The sequence below is a fragment of the Homo sapiens genome, chromosome 3 (assembly GCF_000001405.40).
Source record: "Homo sapiens chromosome 3, GRCh38.p14 Primary Assembly".
In the NCBI taxonomy this organism is placed as follows: Eukaryota; Metazoa; Chordata; class Mammalia; order Primates; family Hominidae; genus Homo; species Homo sapiens.
In genome coordinates, this window is record NC_000003.12 from 130,058,813 (window position 1) to 130,081,830 (window position 23,018).

Genomic DNA, 23,018 nt, shown 5'->3' on the forward strand with positions numbered 1-23,018 from the left:
CACCTCACGAGGTCACAGCGAGGTGGCTGGGAGGAGAGCCAGGAAGTTTTCACTGAGGTGTGTGGGAGACAGCTTGGCAGCCCTTGGTCTCTGAAGGGAGGAGGTGGTGTGAAGGAGGGCAGCTTCAGAACTTCCCAGTTCCTGCCTGATGACCTGTGTGTAAAGTATTCCCGTTTAGGTTTCAACATCCTCTCAGAAATATAATTCTCAGAAAATCCAGGCACCCAATCCAGCTCCCTGGCATTCCCTGAAATCTGAAGTCAAAGGGGCTGAGCCAGCCTGCCCTGGGTGTCAGGTCTCTGAGCCCAAGATAAGCCATCATATCCCCTGTGACCTGCACATACACATCCAGATGGCTGGTTCCTGCCTTAACTGATGACATTCCTCCACAAAAGAAGTGAAAATGGTCTGTTCCTGCCTTAACTGATGACATTCCTCCACAAAAGAAGTGAAAATGGTCTGTTCCTGCCTTAACTGATGACATTGTCTTGTGAAATTCCTTCTCCTGGCTCATTCTGGCTCAAAACCTCCCCCACTGAGTACCTTCTGACCCCCACTCTGCCTGCCAGAGAACAAACCCCCTTTGACTGTAATTTTCCTTTGCCTACCCAAATCCTATAAAATGGCCCCACCCCTATCTCCCTTTGCTGACTCTCTTTCAGACCCAGCCCACCTGCACCCAGGTGAAATAAACAGCCATGTTGCTCACAAAGTCTGTTTGGTGGTCTCTTCACATGGACGCACATGAAATTTGGTGCTGTGACTCGGATGGGGGGCCTCCCTTGGGAGATCAATCCCATGTCCTCCTGTTCTTTGCTCCATGAAAAAGATCCGCCTACAACCTCAGGTCCTCAGACCCAGCAGCCCAAGGAACATCTCACCAATTTTAAATCCGGTAAGCAGCCTCTTCTTACTCTCTTCTCCAACCTCTCCCTGTCCATCAACCACTTTCTCCTTTCCAGTCTTCAATCTCTCCATTCTCTTAATTTCAATTCCTTTCATTTTCTGGTAGAGACAAAGGAGACACGTTTTATCCGTGGACCCAAAACTCTGGCACCGGTCATGGACTGCGAAGGCAGATTTCCCTTGGTGTTTAATCATTACAGGGATGCCTCTCTGATTATTCAACCACGTTTCAAAGGTGTCAGACCACCCAGGGACGCCTGCCTTGGTCCTTCACCCTTAGTGGCAAGTCCCGCTTTTCTGAGGGAGGGACAAGTACCCCAACCCCTTCTCTCCATGTCTCTACCCCTTCTCTGCTTTTCTGGGGGAGGGGCAAATACCCCTCAACCCCTTCTCCTTCACCCTTAGTGGCAAGTCCTGCTTTTCTGGGGGAGGTGCAAGCACCCCAACCCCTTCTCTCCATGTCTCTACCCCTTCTCCACCTTTCAGGGGGGCAAGAAACCCCCAACCCCTTCTCCTTCACCCTTAGTGGCAAGTCCCACTTTTCTGGGGGAGGTACAAGTACCCCAACCTCGTATCTCTGCACCCCAATCCCTTATTTCTGCACACTGGCCCCTTTTCTCTGTGCCCCAATCCCTTATTTCCACACCCTGACCTCTTATATCTCTGCACCCCAATCCCTTATTTCCATGCCTGGACCTCGTATCTCTGTGCCCCGACCCCTTTCCCACTTTTCTGTAGGGTAAGAACCCCTGAACCCCTTCCCTCCGTGTCTCTACTCTCTCTTTTCTCTGGGCTTGCTTCCTACACTATGGGCAACCTTCCACCCTCCATTCCTCCTTCTTCTCCCTTAGCCTGTATTTTTAAGAACTTAAAACCTCTTCAACTCTCACCTGACCTAAAATCTAAGCATCTTATTTTCTTCTGCAATGCTGCTTGACCCCAATACAAACTCAACAGTAGTTCCAAATAGCCAGAAAACGGCACTTTCAATTTTTCCATCCTGTAAGATCTAAATAATTATTGCCGTAAAATAAGCAAACTGTCTGAGGTGCCTGACTTCCAGACATTCTTTTACACATCAGTCCCTTCCTAGTCTCTGTGCCCAAAGCAACTCGTCCCAAATCTTCCTCCTTTCCCTCCCGCCTGTCCCCTCAGTCCCAAACCCAAGCATTGCTGAGTCTTTCTAATCTTCCTTTTCTACAGACCCATCTGACCTCTCCCCTCCTCCCCAGGCTGCTCCTCGCCAGGCCAAGCTAAGTCCCAATTCTTCTTCCGCCTCCACTCCTCCACTCTATAATCCTTTTTTCACCTCCCCTCCTCACCCCGGGTCCGGCTTACAGTTTCATTTCATGACTAGCCCTCCCCAAGCTGCCCAGCAATTTGCTCTTAAACAGGTGCCTGGAGCTAAAGACATAGTCAAGGATAATGCTCCTTTTTCTTTATCCCAAATCAGATAGCATTTAGCCTCTTTTTCATCAAATATAAAAATCCAGCCCAGTTCATGGCTTGTTCAGCAGCAACCCTGAGACGCTTTGCAGCCCTAGACCCTAAAAAGTCAAAAGGCTGTCTTATTCTAAATATACATTTTATTTCCCAATCTACTCCCGACATTAAATAAAACTCCAAAAATTAAATTCTGGTCCTCAAACCCCACAACAGGATTTAATTAACCTCACCTTCAAGATGTACAATAATAGAAAAAAGTTGTAATTCCTTACCTCCACTCTGAGACAAATCCCAGCCACATCTCCAGCACACGAGAACTTCCAAACGCCTGAACCGCAGTGGCCAGGTGTTCCTCCAGAACATCTTCCCCCAGGAGCTTGCTACAAGTGTCAGAAATCTGGCCACCAGGCCAAGGAATGCCTGCAGCCCAGGATTCCTCCTAAGCCACGTCCCATCTGTGCGGAACCCCACTGGAAATCGGACTGTTCAACTCACCTGGCAGCTGCTCCCAGAGCCCCTGGAACTCTGGCCCAAGCTTCTCTGACTGACCCCTTCTCAGCTTAGTGGCTGAAGACTGACGCTGCCTAATTGCCTCGGAAGCCCCATAGACCATCATGGATGCCGAGCTTTAGGTAACTCTCACAGTGGAAGATAAGTCCGTCCCCTTCTTAAGCAATATGGAGGCTACCCACTCCACACTACTTTCTTTTCAAGGGCCTGTTTCCCTTGCCTCCATAACTGTTGTGGGTATTGACGGCCAGGCTTCTAAACCTCTTAAAACTCCCCAACTCTAGTGCCAACTTAGACAATACTCTTTTAAACACTCCTTTTTAGTTATCCCCACATGCCCAGTTCCCTTATTTGGCCAAGACACTTTAACTAAATTATCTGCTTCCCTGACTATTCCTGGGTACAGCCACACCTCATTGCCACGTTTTCCCCCAGTTCAAAGCCTCCTTCACATCCTCCTCTTGTATTACCCCACCTTAACCCACAAGTATAGGATACCTCTACTCCCTCCTTGGCGACCGATCATGCACCTCTTACCATCCCACTAAAACCTAATCACCCTTACCCCACTCAATGCCAATATCCCATCCCGCAGCATGCTTTAAAAAGGTTAAAGCCTGTTATCACTCGCCTGCTACAGCATGGCCTTTTAAAGCCTATAAACTCTCCCTACAATTCCCCCATTTTACCTGTTCTAAAACCAGACAAGCCTTACAAGTTAGTTCAGGATCTGCGCCCTATCAACCAAATTGTTTTGCCTATCCACCCCATGGTGCCAAACCCATATACTCTCCTATCCTCAATACCTCCCTCTACTACCCATTATTCTGTTCTGGATCTCAAACATGCTTTCTTTACTATTCCTTTGCACCCGTCATCCCAGCCTCTCTTCGCTTTCACTTGGACTGACCCTGACACCCATCAGGCTCAGCAAATTACCTGGGCTGTACTGCCACAAGCCTTCACAGACAGCCCCCATTACTTCAGTCAAGCCCAAATTTCATCCTCATCTGTTACCTATCTCAGCATAATTCTCATAAAAACACACGTGCTCTCCCTGCTGATCGTGTCTGATTAATCTCCCAAACCTCAATCCCTTACAAAAGAACAACTCCTTTCCTTCCTAGGCATGCTTAGTGCGGTCAGAATTCTTACACAAGAGCCAGGACTGCACCCTGTAGCCTTTCTGTCCAAACAACTTGACCTTACTGTTTTAGGCTGGCCATCATGTCTCTGTGCAGTGGCTGCTGCCACCCTAATACTTTTAGAGGCCCTAAAAATCACAAACTATGCTCAACTCACTCTCCACATTTCTCATAACTTCCAAAATCTATTTTCTTCCTCATACCTGATGCATATACTTTCTGGTGGCCCGGCTCCTTCAGCTGTACTCACTCTTTGTTAAGTCCCACAATTACCATCATTCCTGGCCCGGACTTCAGTCTAGCCTCCCACATTATTCCTGATACCACACCTGACCCCCATGACTGCATCTCTCTGATCCACCTGATGTTCACCCCATTTCCCCACATTTCCTTCTTTCCTGTTCCTCACCCTGATCACGCTTGATTTATTGATGGCAGTTCCACCAGGCCTAATCGCCACACACCAGGAAATGCAGGATAAGCTATAGTACAAGCCACTAGCCCACCTCTTAGAACCTCTCATTTCCTTTCCATCATGGAAATCTGTCCTCAAGGAAATAACTTCTCAGTGTTCCATCAGCTATTCTACTACTCCTCAGGGATTATTCAGGCCCCCTCCTTTCCCTACACATCAAGCTCAGGGATTTGCCCCCACCCAGGACTGGTAAATTAGCTTTACTCAACATGTTCCGAGTCAGATAACTAAAATACCTCTTGGTCTAGGCAGACACTTTCACTGGATAGGTACAGGCCTTTCCTACAGGGTCTGAGAAGGCCATCACAGTCATTTCTTCCCTTCTGTCAGACATAATTCCTCAGTTTAGCCTTCCCACCTCTATACAGTCTGATAACAGACCAGCTTTTATTAGTCAAATCAGCCAAGCAGTTTTTCAGGCTCTTAGTATTCAGTGAAACCTTTATATCCCTTACGGTCCTCCGTCTTCAGGAAAAGTAGAACGGACTAAAGGTCTTTTAAAAACACACCTCACCAAGCTCAGTCAGCAACTTAAAAAGGACTGGACAATACTTTTACCACTTTCCCTTCTCAGAAGTCAGACCTGTCCTCAGAATGTTACAAAATACAGCCCATTGGAGCTCCTGTATAGATGCTCCTTTTTATTAGGCCCCAGTCTCATTCCAGACACCAGACCAACTTAGACTGTGCCCCAGAAAAACTTGTCATCCCTACTATCTTCTGTCTAGTCATACTCCTATTCACTGTTCTCAACTACTCATACATGCCCTGCTCTTGTTTACACTGCCGGTTTACACTGTTTCTCCAAGCTATCACAACTGATATCTCCTGGTGCTATCCCCAAACTGCCACCCTTAACTCTTGAACTAAATAAATAATCTTTGCTGACAGGACTATGCTGAATCTCCTTAGGCACTCTCTAATCAGATGTCCTAGGTCCTCCCAATTCTTAGACCTTTTATACCTGTTTGTCTCCTTCTCTTATTCCATTTAGTTTTTCAATTCATACAAAACTGTATCCAGGCCATCACCAATAATTCTAAATGACAAATGTTCCTTCTAACAACCCCACAATATCACCCCTCACCACAAAATCTGCCTTCAGCTGAATCTCCCCCACTCTAGGTTCCCACGCCGCCCCTAATCCCGCTCGAAGCAGCCCTGAGAAACATCGTCCATTATCTCTCCATACCATCTCCAAAAATGTTCGCTGTCCCAACACTTTACCACTATTTCCTTTTATTTTTCTTATTAATATAAGAGGACAGGAATGTCAGGCCTCTGAGCCCAAGCTAAGCCATCATATCCCCTGTGACCTGCACGTACACATCCAGATGGCCGGTTCCTGCCTTAACTGAGGCATTCCACCACAAAACAAGTGAAATTGGTCTGTTTCTGCCTTAACTGATGACATTGTCTTGTGAAATTCCTTCTCCTGGCTCATCCTGGCTCAAAACCTCCCCCACTGAGTACCTTGTGACCCCACACTGCCCACCAGAGAACAACCCCCTTTTGACTGTAATTTTCCTTTACCTTCCCAAATCCTATAAAACGGCCCCACCCCTATCTCCCTTTCCTGACTCTCTTTTCAGACTCAGCCCGCCTGCACCCCGGTGAAATAAACAGCCATGTTGCTCACACAAAGCCTGTTTGGTGGTCTCTTCACGCGGACGCGCATGAAACTGGGGTCCTCATGCCCACCAGTCCAGAGTGCTCTCTAGAGGAAGGCTACAGACACTTCCTGGCTCGCTCATCCAGACGTTAGCTGTCTTGCTGAAATGCCTTTTTTCACCCTTGAAAACCACTGGAAGAATGGCCAAGAACCCAGCTATCCTGAGTAAGTTCACTTAGAGAAGCAAAATCTAACATGAGTCGCAAAATGGACACTGGCACCAGGAGTGTGGGTCAGAATCCTGCCCCTTGGAACTACATCATCGCTTGTACAGTGTACCCCCCAGGCACCAAGAGACCAGGCCGAGACCCTTCAGTGGCCCTGGGCCTCTGGTCAGTGTCTTCCTGCCTGGCACACAGGCAGGCCCTCATAAAGCAATGAGTAGTGAAAGTTCCAGCCTTCTTGATGGGTTCTCAGCACCCCGTCGTGAGCCACACCCTGCCCCAGGGAAATCAGGATCACCCTGATGCTACCCCTAGGCCAGTGCCCCTTCTGAAGTGCCCCAGGCTGGCACCTCTATACTTAGATCTCTTCAGCCTCCTCATGAAAACCTTGTCCATCACCCCAGCAGTCCTGACACTGTGCTAGATGAGCAGCTGACCACACGTCAAATCAATTTTCAGAGTTTGCCTTTGGTTTAATATTGACGGCTCATCCAAAAGACCTTGTCACTATAGCTAGATGAAAAAAATGACAAGGCTCTGGAGAAGCAGAGCCACAACATGGAAGATACCTGGGTCCCAGGTTCAGGAGGAGAGGAGCTGCCTGCTCCAGACTGTCACATGAGTGGGAATGAATCTTTTTCTACGTGTAGACCATTACCTTTCTTCACTCTGTCACATAGTCTATCCCCGCTAAACAGAAATTGACCTCCACCAGACCGTTTACATCAAGACCTGTATGTGCAGTGCAGTGGCCTGAGCCTCCAATCCATGCCCCACCTAGCCAACCGGCCTTGCCATATTCTTACTCTGAGAGTGGTATTCTGGGGACAGAAGCTCAGTGCATAGAATTGACTAATGCCAGATCCTTCAGGCGCTTTGCACTTTGAAGTCTATCTGTCCTAGCACATTCCAAGTACAAAGAAGACACTTCAGCAGTACAACCTGGCCTACACCCAGTTCAATTCCTTCTTCAAAAACCTAGGCCCGGCCAGGTGTTGTGGCTCACATCTGTAATCCCAAAACTTTAGGAGGCTGAGGCGGATGTATCACCTGAGGTCAGGAGTTCGAGACCAGCCTGGCCAACATGGTGAAATTCCATCTCTACTAAAAATGCAAAAAATTAGCCGGGTGTGGTGGCACGCCCCTGTAATTCCAGCTACGCTGGAGGCTGAGGTGGGGGAATTGCTTGAACCCTGGAGGTGGAGGCTGCAGTGAGATGAGATTGTGCCACTGCACTCCAGCTGGGGAAACAGAGCAAAACCCCATCTTAAAAAACAACAACAACAACAACAAAGAAACCTAGGCCCACATCCAGACAATGGAATGTTATTTAGCACTAAAATGAAATGAGCTATCTAACCACAAAAAGGCATGGAGAAACCTTAAATGCATATTCCTAAGTGAACGAAGCCCATCTGAAAAGGCCGCACACTCTATGATTTCAACTATGACATTCTGGATAAAGCAAAACTATGGAGACAGTGAAAATATCCATGGTTGCCAGAGGTCAGCAGAAAGGAGGAATGAATTGGTGAAAGACAGAGGATTTTTAGGGCAGTGAAACTACTCTGCGTGATACTACAATGGTGGATCCACGTCATTGTCCATATGTCCAAACCCACGCAATGTACAACACCAAGAGTGAGCCCTCATGTAAACTATGGACTCTGGGTGATAGTGATGTGTCAATGTAGGTTTATTGATTATGACAAATATCCCACTCAGGTTTGATATTGCTAGTGGGGAAGCTGCGCATGTGTGTGTGTGTGGCAGGTGGGAGTAGAGGTTGATGAAAACTCTGTACTTTCTGCTCCATTTTTCTTTCTTTCTTTTCTTTTCTCTTTCTTTCCTTTTCCCTTCCTTCCTTTCTTCCTTCTTCCTTCCTTCTTTCCTTCCTTCCTTCCTTCCCTCCCTCCTTCCCTCCTTTCTTTCTTTCTCTCTCTCCTTTGTGTTTTTCTTTCTTTTTCACCCAGGCTGGAATACAGTGGTAAGATCTCAGCCCACTGCATCCTCCACCTCCCAGGTTCAAGCAATTCTCTTGCCTCAGCCTCCCAAGTAGCTAGGATTACAGGCATGCACCACCACGCCTGGCTAATTTTTTGTATTTTTAGTAGAGACGGGGTTTCATCATGTTGGTCAGGCTGGTCTCGAACTCCTGACCTCGTGATCTGCCCGCCTCGGCCTCTCAAAGTGCTGGGATTACACGTGTGAGCCACAGCAGCTGGCCTCTGCTCCATTTCTCTATGAACCTAGAACTTCTCTAACACATTAAGTCTATTTAAAAGGAAAAAAAAATCCCTATACCCAGGATAGCATTACCTTTGGGAGGAGAGGAGCTAGCGTAAGGGAGAGGAGAACGAGGAGCTCAGGCGAGATGGCCATGCCCTGTTCCTTGATCTGCATGGTGTGCATGTGTTTTACTTTGTGAAAGCTCACCCAGTTATCCACTTTGGATATGTAAACAAAAATGTTTAAGAAAACTTCACCTGCAGTTATCTGACCTACACTTTTAAACAATAAAGAAAGCCTAGGCACACAGAGCCTTGGGTAACTCATGGAGCAAGGGGGTGCGGAATGCCTTCTGTAGCCAGCCTCAGTCCCACGAGGATGGGCTGCTGGGTGACAGCAGGACAGGCTCATGAGGACCAGCCATCGCCCAAATGCTCTGGTCCTCCAGGCTGCCTGCCCATGTCTCAAGCTGTTTGGTCTACAGTGCCAAAAGGTCAAGAAGAAGGACAGTTAGAACAACCCCATGGTTTCAGCAACATGGAGGCCCTCAAGAACCATTTTGAAACCATATGGAATGGGGTGTGGGACAGAAGCATGTTTGGAAAAGGTTGAAAAGTGAGTGGAGGGGCCAGGTGTTGTGGCTCACACTTGTAATCCCAGCACTTTGGAAGGCTGAGGCAGGCAGATCACCTGAGATCGAGAGTTCAAGACCAGCCTGACTAACATGGAAAACCCCCGTCTCTGCTAAAAATACAAAATTAGCCGGGCGTGGTGGCAGGTGCTTGTAATCCCAGTTACTCAGGAGGCTGAAGCAGCTGAATGACTTGAATCTGGGAGGCAGGGTTTGCAGTGAGCTGAGACTGCGCCATTGCATGGCAGCCTGGGCAACAAGAGATAATCTCCACCTCAAAAAAAAAAAAAAAAAAAAAAGAAGAAGAAGAAAAAGAAAAAAGAAAAGTGAGTGGGAGGTAAGAAAGTCAAAGATGGTCCATGTAGTAGGCAGAATAACTGCCCCCAAAGATGTCCACAGGCCTTAATCCCCAGGCAGTGATTATGTTACCAGACATTCATGGTAAAAGGGACTTGGCAGATGTGATTAAGTTCAGGATTTTGAGTAGGGGAGATTATCCTGGATTATCTGGTAGGGGTTTATATAATCACAAGGGTGCTTAAAAGGAAGAAGGTGGCTGAGTGCAGTGGCTCACACCTATAATCCCAGCACTTTGGGAGGCTGAGGTGGGTGGATCACCTGATGTCAGAAGTTCGAGACCAGCCTGGCCAACATGGTGAAATCCCATCTCTACTAAAAATATGAAAATTAGCCAGGCATGGTGGTGCATGCCTGTAATCCCAGCTACTTGGGAGGCTGAGGCAGGAGAATCACTTGAACCCAGGAGGTGGAGGTTGCAGTGAACCGAGATTGCACCATTGCACTCCAGCCTGGGCAACAAGAGAAAAACTCCATCTCAAAAAAAAAGGAGGAAGGCAAGAGAGTCAGAGTCAGACAGTCAGAAAAAGGAGTTGTGACAACAGAACCAGCAGTTGGAACGATGAAGCCATGAGTCCAAGAATGTAGGCAGTCTTTAGAAACGGGAAAAGGCAAGGAAAAAGATTTTGCCTTGAAACCTCCAAAAGGAATGCAGCCATGCAGAAATCTTCATTGCAAACATCTGACTACTAGAACTGTAAGAGAATAAATGTGTGCTGTTTTAAGCCACTGAGTTTGTGGCAACTTGTTACAGAAGCAATAGGAATACTAGTACAGTTTGTATAGATGACTGTGGCAACAGTGTGGTGAAGATGAGAGAAACAGAGCTGTGCCAGGCGCAGTGGCTCACGCCTGTAATCCCAAAACTTTGGGAGGCTGAGGTGGGCAGATCATGAGGTCAGGAGATCGAGACCATACTGGCTAACACGGTGAAACCCCATCTCTACTAAAAATACAAAAAATTAGCCGGGCGTGGTGGCGGACACTGGGAGGCTGCTGCAGGAGAATGGCGTGAACCTGGAAGGTGGAGTTGCAGTGAGCTGAGATCACACTATTGCACTCCAGCCTGGGCGAAAGAGCAAGACTCCATCTCAAAAAAAAAAGAGAGAAACATAGCTGTAAGAAGTGATGTTCAGGGAGAGATTTTTAAATAATTATGATTGAGTTAAAGTTGAAAGAGGCTTGTGTGTATATGTATGTGTATAGATAAACACGTATGCAGATGACCCTTAGATCATAAGTATTCGATTTCTATTTTTTTTTCCCCCGAGACGGAGTCTCCCTTTGTCACCCAGGCTGGAGTACTGTGGCGCAATTTCGGTTGACTGCAACCTCCACCTTCCTGGTTCAAGCAGTTCTCCTGCCTCAGCCTCCGGAGTAGCTGGGATTACAGGTGCCCGCGCCATGCCCGGCTAATTTTTGTTTTTGGCCAGGCTGGTCTGGAACCCCTGACCTCAAATGATCCACCCACCTCAGCCTCCCAAAGTGCTGGGATTACAAGTGTGAGCCACTGCGCCAGGCTCATATGTATTAGATTTCTTATTGTGGGTTTTGGTCCGACAAGTTTGAAGGGGGATATTGTCGAGAGATTGCTCAAAATGATGAACCGCGGGCTCCAAGCTAATTATAAGAAAGGAAATGAGCATAGAAGAGGCGAGGGGCCCAAGGGATCAGAGATCCTGATGAGGACCAGCAAGGTCAGAGTGAGGGAATCACACAGCAGGCTGGAAAGGCAGGAGGCTGTGCCCACGATTTGTTTGAGGAATGATTTCAAGGTGGATTTGCAGGTTATGGAAACGTCCAGGAGTGGCCATGGAAAGAGGTAGAAGAGGTTGGTGCAGAAGGTTGCTGGAAACAAGGATGCCAGGACTGAGAGTGAAGATGCCCTGTGGACCAGGCATCTCCCAGGATGAAGGTAGGAAGTGGGGTGGAGCAGGAGCCAGCTGCCAATGTTGTCCTTAAACAAAAGGCAGTTGACAGATGAGCTGCTCCCAATCTCATGCCCTTTTGGGCATGCTCCTTTCCCGGTAGGCAAGCTCATGCATTCCAGTGTGCTGGGCACAGTCAGGCCACTGAACTTCCCACACCTTGGTTTCTTGGCTGGTTGAAGAGAGATCCTTTTTAAAGAACAACTACTAATGCAGCTGTTTATTAATGATTCCCTCCGGGTCAAATTAGCCATCATGTTGGATCAGTCAAAACTACTTTATTTCTTAATAATTTCAGCCAGAACTTGTACAGTCTAACTCTATTTGTGGGCAAGTATTTGCTATCCTGGAAGACGGCAGTTGTGCACACTCTGTTAAGAAATCAGTCCTGGAATCCAGTAGAGCCTGGAGATGTTCTGTTGATCCTTGTTAAACTGGTGAGGAGAGGAAATGGGAGGGTGTAGATTCTTTTCTTTTTTTCCTATCACCCAGGCTGGAGTGCAATGGCACGATCTCGGCTCACCGCAACTTCTGCCTCCCAGGTTCAAGCAATTCTCCTGCCTCGGCCGCCCGAGTGGCTGGGACTACAGGCGCGTGCCAGCATGCCTGGCCATTTTTTTTTATTTTTAGCGGAGACAGGGTTTCACCATATTGGCCAGGCTGGTCTCGAACTCCTGACCTCAGGTGATCCTTCTGCCTCAGCTTCCCAAAGTGCTGGGATTACAGGCGTGAGCCACATGACCAGCTGGATGTAGACTCTTTTTTATCAGCTTCACATCACTCAGGGATCTTGGTACAGCTCATGTGTAACTCCAAGATACTCTTCCCTGTTGAATCCTCCCACTGTGTATCAGCAGAAACTCTTACAGCTACTGCCATGGCTAAAACCTTCCTCAAAGGAGTATCCTGAAAGGCTTGGGTAGAGCAAATCTTAGAAAAGCTTAGACCAAAGTTCTTAGGTTTCCATTTTTTGAATACAGATGAGGAGTTCACGACATGAACCCCTAAGAATGGAGGGAGCTCTCCTCTGTCTTCCGAAAGACACAGGGAAATCCTTCTTGGGATTGTCATCCTCATCACATTTACAATGAAAATCCATTAATATTCAAATAATCCAGTGACTATAGAAAGACCAGTGTGGGAGGAAAATAAATCTTGGGGCCCCATACTTACTAAGCCAAAGGGAACAGTCAAGCTGGGAACTGAGTCATGCAAACCTGCGTCCCATTTTGTTCCTAACTAAGATGGCTACAAAGATAAAAAGCTACATACATCGCTCACCTTTTGCCCACAAGGAGATTCCTTGCAGGCCCCAAGATCTTTATTGAAAACAGTTCTGTTGAATTTCACCCAGGCAATATCAACTGATAGCTTATCCACAGATGCAGGACGGGACAGGACAGAACTCAAAGTCATCCTTCTGCTTGCCTGAGAGCAATCAGAAATGTATATCTGATTTCTGATTGCTTCCTCTGCCCTATTGTTTACATTGTCTTATGTAATATTGCAGATTCCCTTAGCCAGACGAAGTGACAGCATGAATGACTATTTCCTCTACTCACTCTCATATGAAACTTGTATATTCCCCCAATATCCATCCTTTCCCCTTTAAATATTGAAGCCCTTAAAATTATCTTTGGAGAAAGGCATTGACCTGTCTCCCTGGTGGGTGTCCTTAACTTTGGCAAATAAACCCCTTAAAATGATTACAACTTGCCGCGGTCATTTTCATTGATTTATACCAGAATGAGGTAAATAACTGATTTTCAAAGAATCGTGATATGAGTCCCAAAGTGTTCTACGGGAGTGTGATATTGTGAAATATATATTTGATCTTTCACATGTTTCCTTCCATACAACTCCTAAAACCCTTAGAATCTCCAAAGTGATGTGTTTTGGTATGCTAATAAGTTGACTGATGGCTGGCAGCCCCTAGCTAGCTTCAGAATGGGGGCTAGTCCCTGGAAAGACCAAGGCAAGATTAGAGAGTTGGGACTTTGAGCCTAACCCCAACTTCTAGGGAGAGGAGAGGAACTGAAGGTTATATTGATCACTAATGGCCAGTGATTTAATCAATTGTGCCTAGGTAATGATGCTTCTATAAAAATCCAAAAGAATTGGGTTTGGAGAGCTTCTGTATAGCAGAACATGTACACGTTTCTGGAGGGCAGGGCACCCAAGGTGGGCATAGAAGCTCCACACTCCTTCCCCATCCCTTTCCCTGTGTGTCTCTTCATCTGTATCCTTTGTAATAGCCTTTATAATGAACTGATAAACATAAGTAATCTTCCCTAAAGTTTTTCTATGAACCACTCCATATTGATGGAACCCAAGGAGGGGGTTATGGGAAGCTCAACTTGAAGCTGGTTGTTCAAAAGTTCTGGAGGCCCAGATTGTGACTGCTGGGAGGAAGGGCAATAGTCTTGGGGACCGAGCCCTCAATCTGTGGGATATGATGCTATCTCCAGGTAGATGGTGTCAGAATTGAATTGGAGTATAGCCAGCTGGTATTTGCTGCAGAATTGATTGTTTGCTTGTTGGTGGGGAGGAATCCCCAAACATTTGGTCACAAAAATATTCTGTGTTGATTGTTGTTGAGTGAAAGAATAGAGAAAGTATTTTGAGTTTGTGTGTGTGTGTGTGTGTGTGTGTTTACACAACTGGTGTCAGAAGTGGGATTTTCTGGCCGTGGCCGTGGCTCATAGAAACATGTGCTTTGGGAAGAGAAAGAATGAGAGGGGCCGGGCACAGTGGCTCATGCCTGTAATCCCAGAACTTTGGGAGGCCGAGGCGGGCAGATCACGAGGTCAACAGATCAAGACCATCCTGGTTAACACAGTGAAACCCCGTCTCTACTAAAAATACAAAAAATTAGCTGGGCGTAGTGGCGTGCGCCTGTAGTCCCAGCTACCTGGGAGGCTGAGGTAGGAGAATGATGTGAACCTGAGAGGCGGAGCGTGCAGTGAGCCGAGATTTTGCCACTGCACTCCAGCCTGGGTGACAGAGCCAGACTCTGTCTCAAAAAAAAAAGAATGAGAGGATGGAGGATAAGGGACCTTTGATTCCTGGATGGTCACATGGTCACCCATGGTATGAAGTCACAGCTGTGCTGCACTCAGTTATTAAAGGTGAAAGTTACCACTGGAATTTGGAGATAGATCCAACTCTTGGGAAGTTGGTTCACTGGATGTGCAAGGAAATGCAAACTAATAACAAAGAAGTGAAATATTCACTCCTTTGCTTATTGTTATCTGTAATAGCTAAAATAAAAATAAAGGAGAGCGCTAGGTCCAGCCTCAATGCTACACCAACCTTAGATGTCAGTGAGTCTGAGCTTTGGCCACTAGCTTTGGAGCCATTCTCTAAGGGCAAAATTATGCGGAAACAACAGAAAATGCCTCTGAGACCTGTGGTTACTAAGAAGGTAGTGAATTTCGGGGAAGGGCAAAATTAAGTAACTACTGAAACGAAGGGGTAGAGTGTGAAGGAACTGTTTTATTTTGTGGTTCAGTATCTTCAACTCCCTAAGGGACCTTTACTAAAATGGACTGTGAGAGTAACTAATTTAGGGGCAGTATCTTTGGTTTTACATGCTGCAGAGGGGAGGAGCATGTTTGGGTTGATGCAGGATCCACAGCTCACTATGGAACAACCTCAGATGGCTATATACGATCTGGACATACAGCAGGCTATTCCTGAGGCAACAGCCAGCCTAGTAGACTGGATAAAAGCCTCCATAATGTGTGTTTACCCTGAGAAGGGGGACTGTCCAACTCCATCTATAAATGCCAAGTGGAGCGCTCCAGATGAAGCAGCTGACATGCTTTGTATGCAAGCCACATGGGACTGGCTTTATGGTGACTGGGATATCCACCCACTACATTGCCTGTTACCCAGGTCATGGGAAATGCTGTGATTAAGGGGCCCCATTTGCATGGACACCTCATGCAATCTCACTGCTGCAAAATCAAGCTATGTTTGGAGAAGACTTATTGAATTTGCTATCTCAGCTTCCCCTCATGGGTCTTATAGATGCTAATAAAAGACATTAGGGCAATTAATAAAATAATGTGGAAAAGCAGAGGACAGAGTCAAAGGACTCATCCCATGAAGGTGGATGTATTTAAGCAGTTATTAAGAGATAAAGAAATTAAAGAAAACATTAATAAATCTAAAACTAAGAGGAAAAAGGGAAGTGCCATGGGACTCATCGCAGGAGGCTGAAAACCCTTAGTGGTGCTTAAGAAATGAGACGAATAGAATGGAAATTGATGGGGTGAAAACAAAGGTCTTAATACAACACTATTGAAGGTTGGGTGGACCAAAAAGAGCCCTTGCTGGCTGCCAACATTAAGGAGTTCCAAATGGGTTTGCTGTATTCACCTTAGTTTGGAGAAATTTTAAAAGTCATTAAGCAGAGATTACAATGAGAAAGCTGATCAGCAATCACCTGGGCCAATGTTGAGGCAGGTTCATCCAGATAAAGATTGACAAAAGGGCCAAGGCTCCTTGGCTCAACCCTCTGCTGGCGACTCAAAGCCTTTTGCACTGGCTGGTGGAGAAGAGAAGCTCCTGGATCTAGAACTTAAAAATGTAAGGGTTGGTAGAATTATGAAAGTTGGTGCATTTGAACATGCTTCATATGAAATGTTTACATCTCTTTTACCTGATTGTATTAGGGAATGGACTTTGTATCTGACTTGTCCTTCAAGCAATATTAATGGGACGTGAGATGGGAGCCAGTAAGATTGCCCCCAGCCCGCAAAGTGCAGAGTGGAAGATGCTGAGCTGGGAGGGACATATTCTTTCGATAACCCCTCTATGGAGCCTCTAAAGCAGCATATGGCAAAAGCCTGTCACCGTCTCCCAGCGACAACTCCTGGCCCATAAAATGATCTTGACACCTGAAATACCCATGCTGTCTCAGGTGATGTCATAGAAACACTCTAATGAGGCTGGGCGCAGTGGCTCACACCTGTAATCCCAGCACTTTGGGAGGCCGAGGTGGGTGGATCACCTGAGATCAAGAGTTCGAGACCAGCCTGACCAACATGGTGAAATTCCATCTCTACTAAAAATACAAAAAATTAGCCAGGCGTGGTGGTGGATGCCTGTAATCCCAGCTACCTGGGAGGTTGAGGGAGGAGAATAGCTTGAACCTGGGAGGCAGAGGTTGCAGTGAGCCAAGATCACACCATTGCACTCCAGCCTGGGCGACAAGAGCAAGACTCCATTTCAGAAAAAAAAAAAAAAAAAAGAAACATAATAAAACGGAAATGGTTTATACAGCATCATGCTCTGTGGGGAATGCAGGGAGGAGATATTCCCAAGGAGGGAGCCTCTTTTCTCCTACAACTGACTCTGGAACAGTGAGGAGCTGCTGGATTCTCTCAACAGTTCGACAATGCCCTATATAACCAGCTCTCAACTCACTCACCCCCAGCTGTTTGGTCTATGGATGACAATTTTGAGGTGAACAAACAACATCCTGTTTGGAGGGCTGCTACTCTGGCTAAAGACTGTAAAAATCAGTCAGCTCAGTGAGTTGAATTGCATGCTGTTTTCCTAGCTGCTGATCTATACTAGAATGATGTCAATAACTGATTTTCAAAGAATCATGGTACATGTTCCAAAGTGTTCTACAGGAGTGTGATATTGTGAAATATATATTTGATCAGTTGAACAGTGGTAGCAGCCCCGTGTTTGGGTTTTTACTGACTCCTGGGCAGTGACCAGTGTCTTGGCTGTACACTCAGGCAAGAGGGCAATAGCTACCTGGCTTATTAACGGGACATCCATGTGGGGCAGAGCCCTGTGGAGATGTGAAAGATGTCTTGAAGTAGAACAGGTTCATGCCCATCAGAAAAACTCCCTTCCAGGCTCAGGAGATGGCTGGAGTCACCAAGTGAGTTTTTTTTGTGTGCTCCTGTGAGGTGGTCGCCTGGGTCCATGAAATGAGTGAACAAGGCGGTTCTGCAGCAGTGCAGAGATGGGCTGAATCTAGCCATGACCCTCGGGCTCAAAATGCCAATAACTATTCTGTCGCTGGTTGCGCTGGCTCAAGCCTGTAGTTCCAGCACTTTGGGAGGCTGAGGTGGGTGGATCACCTGAGGTTGGGAGTTGGAGACCAGCCTGACCAACATGGAGAAACCCCATCTCTACTAAAAATACAAAATTACTGAGGCGTGGTGGTGCATGCCTATAATCTCAGCTGAGGCAGGAGAATTGCTTGTACCCAGGAGGTGGAGGTTGCGGTGAGCCGAAATGACGCCACTGGACTCCGGCCTGGGCAACAAGAGTGGAACAACGTCTCAAAAAAATAAAAATAAAAAACAAAAAAAACTGTTTTGTCTCCCAGCAAGAGAAAAGAGACTGCCCATGGCTGTGAGGCACATTCCCTTGTGGGAAAGCTCTTAACATAACTGGCAAATGAGTTGGATGCTGGCAGCCCTGGGGTTCTACATCTAGGTCTTGACAGGAATAGACACTGTCTCTGGACTGGGCTTTGTTTGCATGGTAGAAGATGCAAACACTCAGAGTGCCACTAAAAAAAAAAAAAAAAAAAGGCCAGGCACGGTGGCTCATACCTGTAATCTCAATACTTTGGGAGGCTGAGGTGGGCAGATCACCTGAGGTCAGGAGTTCAATACCAGCCTGGCAAACATGGTGACACCTCATCACTACAAAAATACAAAAAAAATTAGCCAATCCCAGCTACTCGGGAGGCTGAGGTGGAAGAATCACCTGAACCCAGGAGGCGGAGGTTGCAGTGAGCCGAGATCGTGCCTTTGCACTCCAGCCTGGGAGACAGAGGGAGACTCTGTCTCAAAAAAAAAAAAAGGAAAAGAAAAAAAAAAAAAGAAAAGGAAAAAAAAAAACCAGAACAGGAGATACTGCATGAATCTTGATGGCCAACGTCATTGCTTCAGAAAAAGGAGCACTCTGTACAGCCCATAATGTCCAACAATGGGCAGAGAGGCATCCTCTTCAGAGTCATAATTTGGCACAGAAGTGGAAGAGGCAATTCAAACACTGATTGTCTAAAACGGGGGAGGTGAAAGCAGGAGGGCTGGTGATAGAGTTTGGAACTGTATCTCCACCCAATTGTGTGTTGAACTGTAATCCCCAGTGTTGGAGCTGGGGCCTGGTGGGAGGCAATTGGATCATGAGGGCAGGTTTCCCATGAATGGTTTAGCACTATTCTCTTTGGTATTGTACTCAGGATAGTGAGTGGGTTCTCATGAGATCTGGTCGTTAAAAAGTGTGTGGGGCCGGGCGTGGTGGCTCACGCCTGTAATCCCAGCACTTTGAAAGGCTGAGGTGGGTGGATCACCTGAGGTCAGGAGTTCAAGACCAGCCTGGCCAACATGGCAAAACCCCGTCTCTCGTAAAAATACAAAAAGTAGCCAGCGTGGCGGCGGGCGCCTGTAATCCCAGCTACCTGGGAGGCTGAGGCAGGAGAATCACTTGAGCTCAGGAGGCAGAGGATGCAGTGAGCTGAGATCACACCATTGCATTCCAGCTTTGATGACAGAGCAAGACTCTGTCTCAAAAAAAAAAAAGTGCACGGCACCTCCCCCAGTCATTATCTCTGGCTCCTGCTCCTGCCATGTAAGAGGACTGCTCCTCATTCATCTTCTGCCATGATTGGAAGCTTCCTGAGACCTCACCAGAAGCAGAAGTTGCTATGCCTCCCATACAGTCTGCAGAAGAGTGAGCCAATTCAACCTCTTTCCTTATAAATTACCCAATCCCATTGCTTCTCAGCCTTTTGGCTAAGATCAAGTATAAATTACCTAGTCTCAGATATTTCTTTATAGCAATGCAAGAATGAACTAATATAGCTGGCTTGCACGCTTTGTGAGTGTGCACTCATACTTAGCATGAGTGGTCTAAAGGAGTGGCCTTCCAGATTTTTCTCCATTTTTTTGGTTGATCTGGGGAAGGGGGGGGTGGGGAGGATGCTGACATGACCATGCAATTTTTTTTTTTTCCCGAGATGGAGTCTTGCTCTGTCACCCTGGCTGGAGTGCAGTGGCGCAATCTCAGCTCACTGCAACTTCTGCCTCCCGGGTTCAAGCAATTCTCCTATCTCAGCCTCCAGAGTAGCTGGGATTACAGGCACATGCCATCAGTCCCAGCTAATTTTTGTATTTTTAGTAGAGGTGGGGTTTCACCATGTTGGCCAGGTTGGTCTCAAACTCCTGACCTCATGATCCACCCGCCTCGGCCTCCCAAAGTGCTGGGATTACAGGTGTGAACCACCGCACCCAGCCCAATGAACAGTTCTTGAATGAATGACACAATGAAGAACACTACCAGAACAAGAGCAGATCAAAGGTGAATAAGTGAGTAGTAGCTTCTATTAATCCTCATCAGCAACCAACATAACCCAGGGCTTATAGATTTCTCTATGTAATATGCTACACACACGTCTATGGAAAGAGAGAGAGAGAGAAGCACATCAGTCAACCAATTTTAAAAAGTTACTCTAAATGTGTTGGTCTTGTATTACAATCTTTAGATTACACTATTATTTTATTTCAAACAGGACTGGTAGAAACTTCTTCATGCCTTTTCAACCAAAGAACTTCAATACGGTGAAACCCCTAAAAATACAAAAAATTAGCCAGGTGTGGTGGCGGGCGCCGGTAGTCCCAGCTACTTGGGAGGCTGAGGCAGAAGAATGGCATGAACCCGGGAGGCGCAGCTTGCAGTGAGCCGAAATTGCGCCACTGCACTCCGGCCTGGGCGACAGAGCGAGACTCCGTCTCAAAAAAAAAAAAAAAAAAAAAAAAAAAAATTCACACTTTGTTCTTTGATAAAGTACCAACCTTAGAAAGTTACGCAGCGAACACCATCTGACTTAGATTAACTGAAAAGTAACTGGATCAATCCCCCTTTACCCTAAGCATCTAAAGGGAACAATTTTCTTTTCTTTTCTTAGGGATGCAGCGTCCCTCAAACTGCAGAGCCACTTGGCGATGAAGCCAGGATCGCAGTGCATTTGATAACTTAATGCAAATTTTTACTAGCACTTAAAACTCAGATATGAAATCTATACTTGATCTTTTCTGCTTGGAATTGGTCAGATTAGTGGTTCTGCCCCGGCATACAACAAAAGGCTCTCAGAAACACTCATGGTCGCTAACCAATCAGAAGGACCAACAGAGCTCGACAAACAGACAGGAGGGTGGAAGGGCACCGCCTTCCACCCCACCCGCTTAGACAGCCTTTCAACTCTGCCCACTTTGAGGATCTGTAGGATGATCCAGGTAAGCATGATACCTATCTTAACTTCAAGGTAGAAATTAAGGCTTGAGTGCACTTATTTGGTGCCTTATTCATTTAATTGGAAGATTATATGGTAATTTCACTGCTCATAATAATTAAACCTTTTTTTTCACTTTGGGGATGATAATGACATTTGGAGAGTAGCACTATAAACCTCAAAAATCTATTTTGAAGATGACTGGACTTAAGAGCGGGACAGGTTTGCTGTACACTTGAGCGAACATGCTTTGTTCCCCAAAGCAGCAAAAAAGCCAGAGCCTGGAAGTTTCTAAAACTTGAAGCAGATGCAAGTGGCAGATCCAAAAAGCTGTGCCTAGAGAACAGATCGGTTGACCGGCTGTATCTATTCCATCCTCCCCAGTGACTCAGTGGAGGATTTCGGACAGGTCTCTCAGTTTCCCCTTCTTTGGTTTCACCTTAGAGTGAGGGGAAGTCACAGCATTTCTTCCTTTATATTTCACAGAAACACAGGAGGCTGGATTGACAGTCAGCAAATGTAAAGAAATACAGACGCCCACAGGGCAATTATGCTGGCCTGGCCTCAAGCTTCATATTCATCCTTAACTGATTCCCTGGCACACTCGCCAGTGACCTGGCTCCACTTCACCGAATGGACCCAAGGGCCCACACTTTCTTAATTCTCCTGTAGACCCTTTATTCACTCCCCTTCATCCTTCCTTTGCTGACGGTGGTCGCTTCTGACTGCCCCAATCTTTTTTTTTTTTTTTTTTTTTTTTTGAGATGTAGTCTCGCTCTGTTGCCCAGGCTGGAGTGCTGTGGTGAGATCTCAGCTCACTGAAACCTCCGCCTCCCCAGTTCAAGCGATTCTCCTGCCATGGCCTCCCGAGTAGCTGGGATTACAGGCATGTGCCACCACGCCTGGCTAATTTTTTTTGTATTTTTAGTAGAGACGGAGTTTCACCATGTTGGCCAGGCTGGTCTCTAACTCCCGACCTCAGATGATCCACCTGCCTGGCCTCCCAAAGTGCTGGGATTAGAGGCATGAGCTACCGAGCCTGGCCTCAATCTTATGCTTACTATTCTTCATCTGTTGTCTCATTTTATAGCCAGAGCTCAGGTGACAGCTGAGGGATTACATTCATCTGTCTCTGAGCCTCTGAGACTTCTATTTTCTTCACCACCCTCCAGGAATCCTTTTTTCTAGCTCTTGGGTGCTGGCCATCTCCTGGAAGGTTAAGTTGAAAATCTGACCTCCAGTTCATTGGTGCCTCTACAATCAATCCGCATTACCTGCAGATTCTGTAGCTGCAAATTCACCTACTTGATAATGTTTACTTTTAGCCCCTAAATCAATCCCAGCGGGGCTTTTCTGGATGTGCGCCGGGTGGTGAAGAGGTTGAATGGCTGATAAGCACGGTCCCAGCAGAGATCCATCGAGGAACCTCTGCCTTTTGGTTTCCGCTCTTATACCATAAATGAATGCCCTTTTCTTGGTCTTTTTGGGGTTTTTGTTTGAGACAGTCTCACTCTGTCACCCAAGCTGGAGTGCAGTGGTGTGATTGCAACCTCTGCCTCTCAGATTACAGTGATTCTCCTGCCCCAGCCTCCCGAGTAGCTGGGACTACAGGCATGTGCCACCACACACAGCTAATTTTTGTTTTTTAGTAGAGATGGGGTTTCGCCATATTGGCCAGGCTGGTCTCAAACTCCTGACCTCAGATGATCCACCTGCCCTGGCCTCTCAAAGTGCTGGGACTACAGGTGTGAGCCACAATGCCCAGTCTGGGTTCTCTTAAATGTAATGGAAAGAGGAGAATTGGAATGGCCGAGAGAGAGAACTAGGACCCTGCATGAATGAATCAAGTTGACTTGGAGAGAAACTGTATTTATAGGAAAGTCAAAGCTCTGAGTTTGGAGGCCAAGCAGGGTGGGGGTGAGCAAAGCTGTGGGAAGGAAAGCAGGGCTTCAAAAAACAGCTGCTCCTTCTTGATAGATGCAGGGAGGAAACAGGAAAGACCGGGGGCCATGTGGTGTTATTTGTAGCACTTGAATAGCTTGGCTCTTAGAGTCCCAAGGCCTCCAGCTAGTGATCCGCAGATGCCATTAGAGGGCAAAAGTGCTCGCTGCTCTCTCATTTGTCAACAAGAAGAGCTGGTATGGCCCTGGCCTTAAGGATAAGTTAGTCAATTGCTTATTGTACGTCACGAGATGAATGCTGGGAGAGAGGAAACACAGGGTGTGTAGGGAGAGGGCAAAAACGGCTACATCTGACCCACCCCAGAGATGAGGAAGGCTTCCAG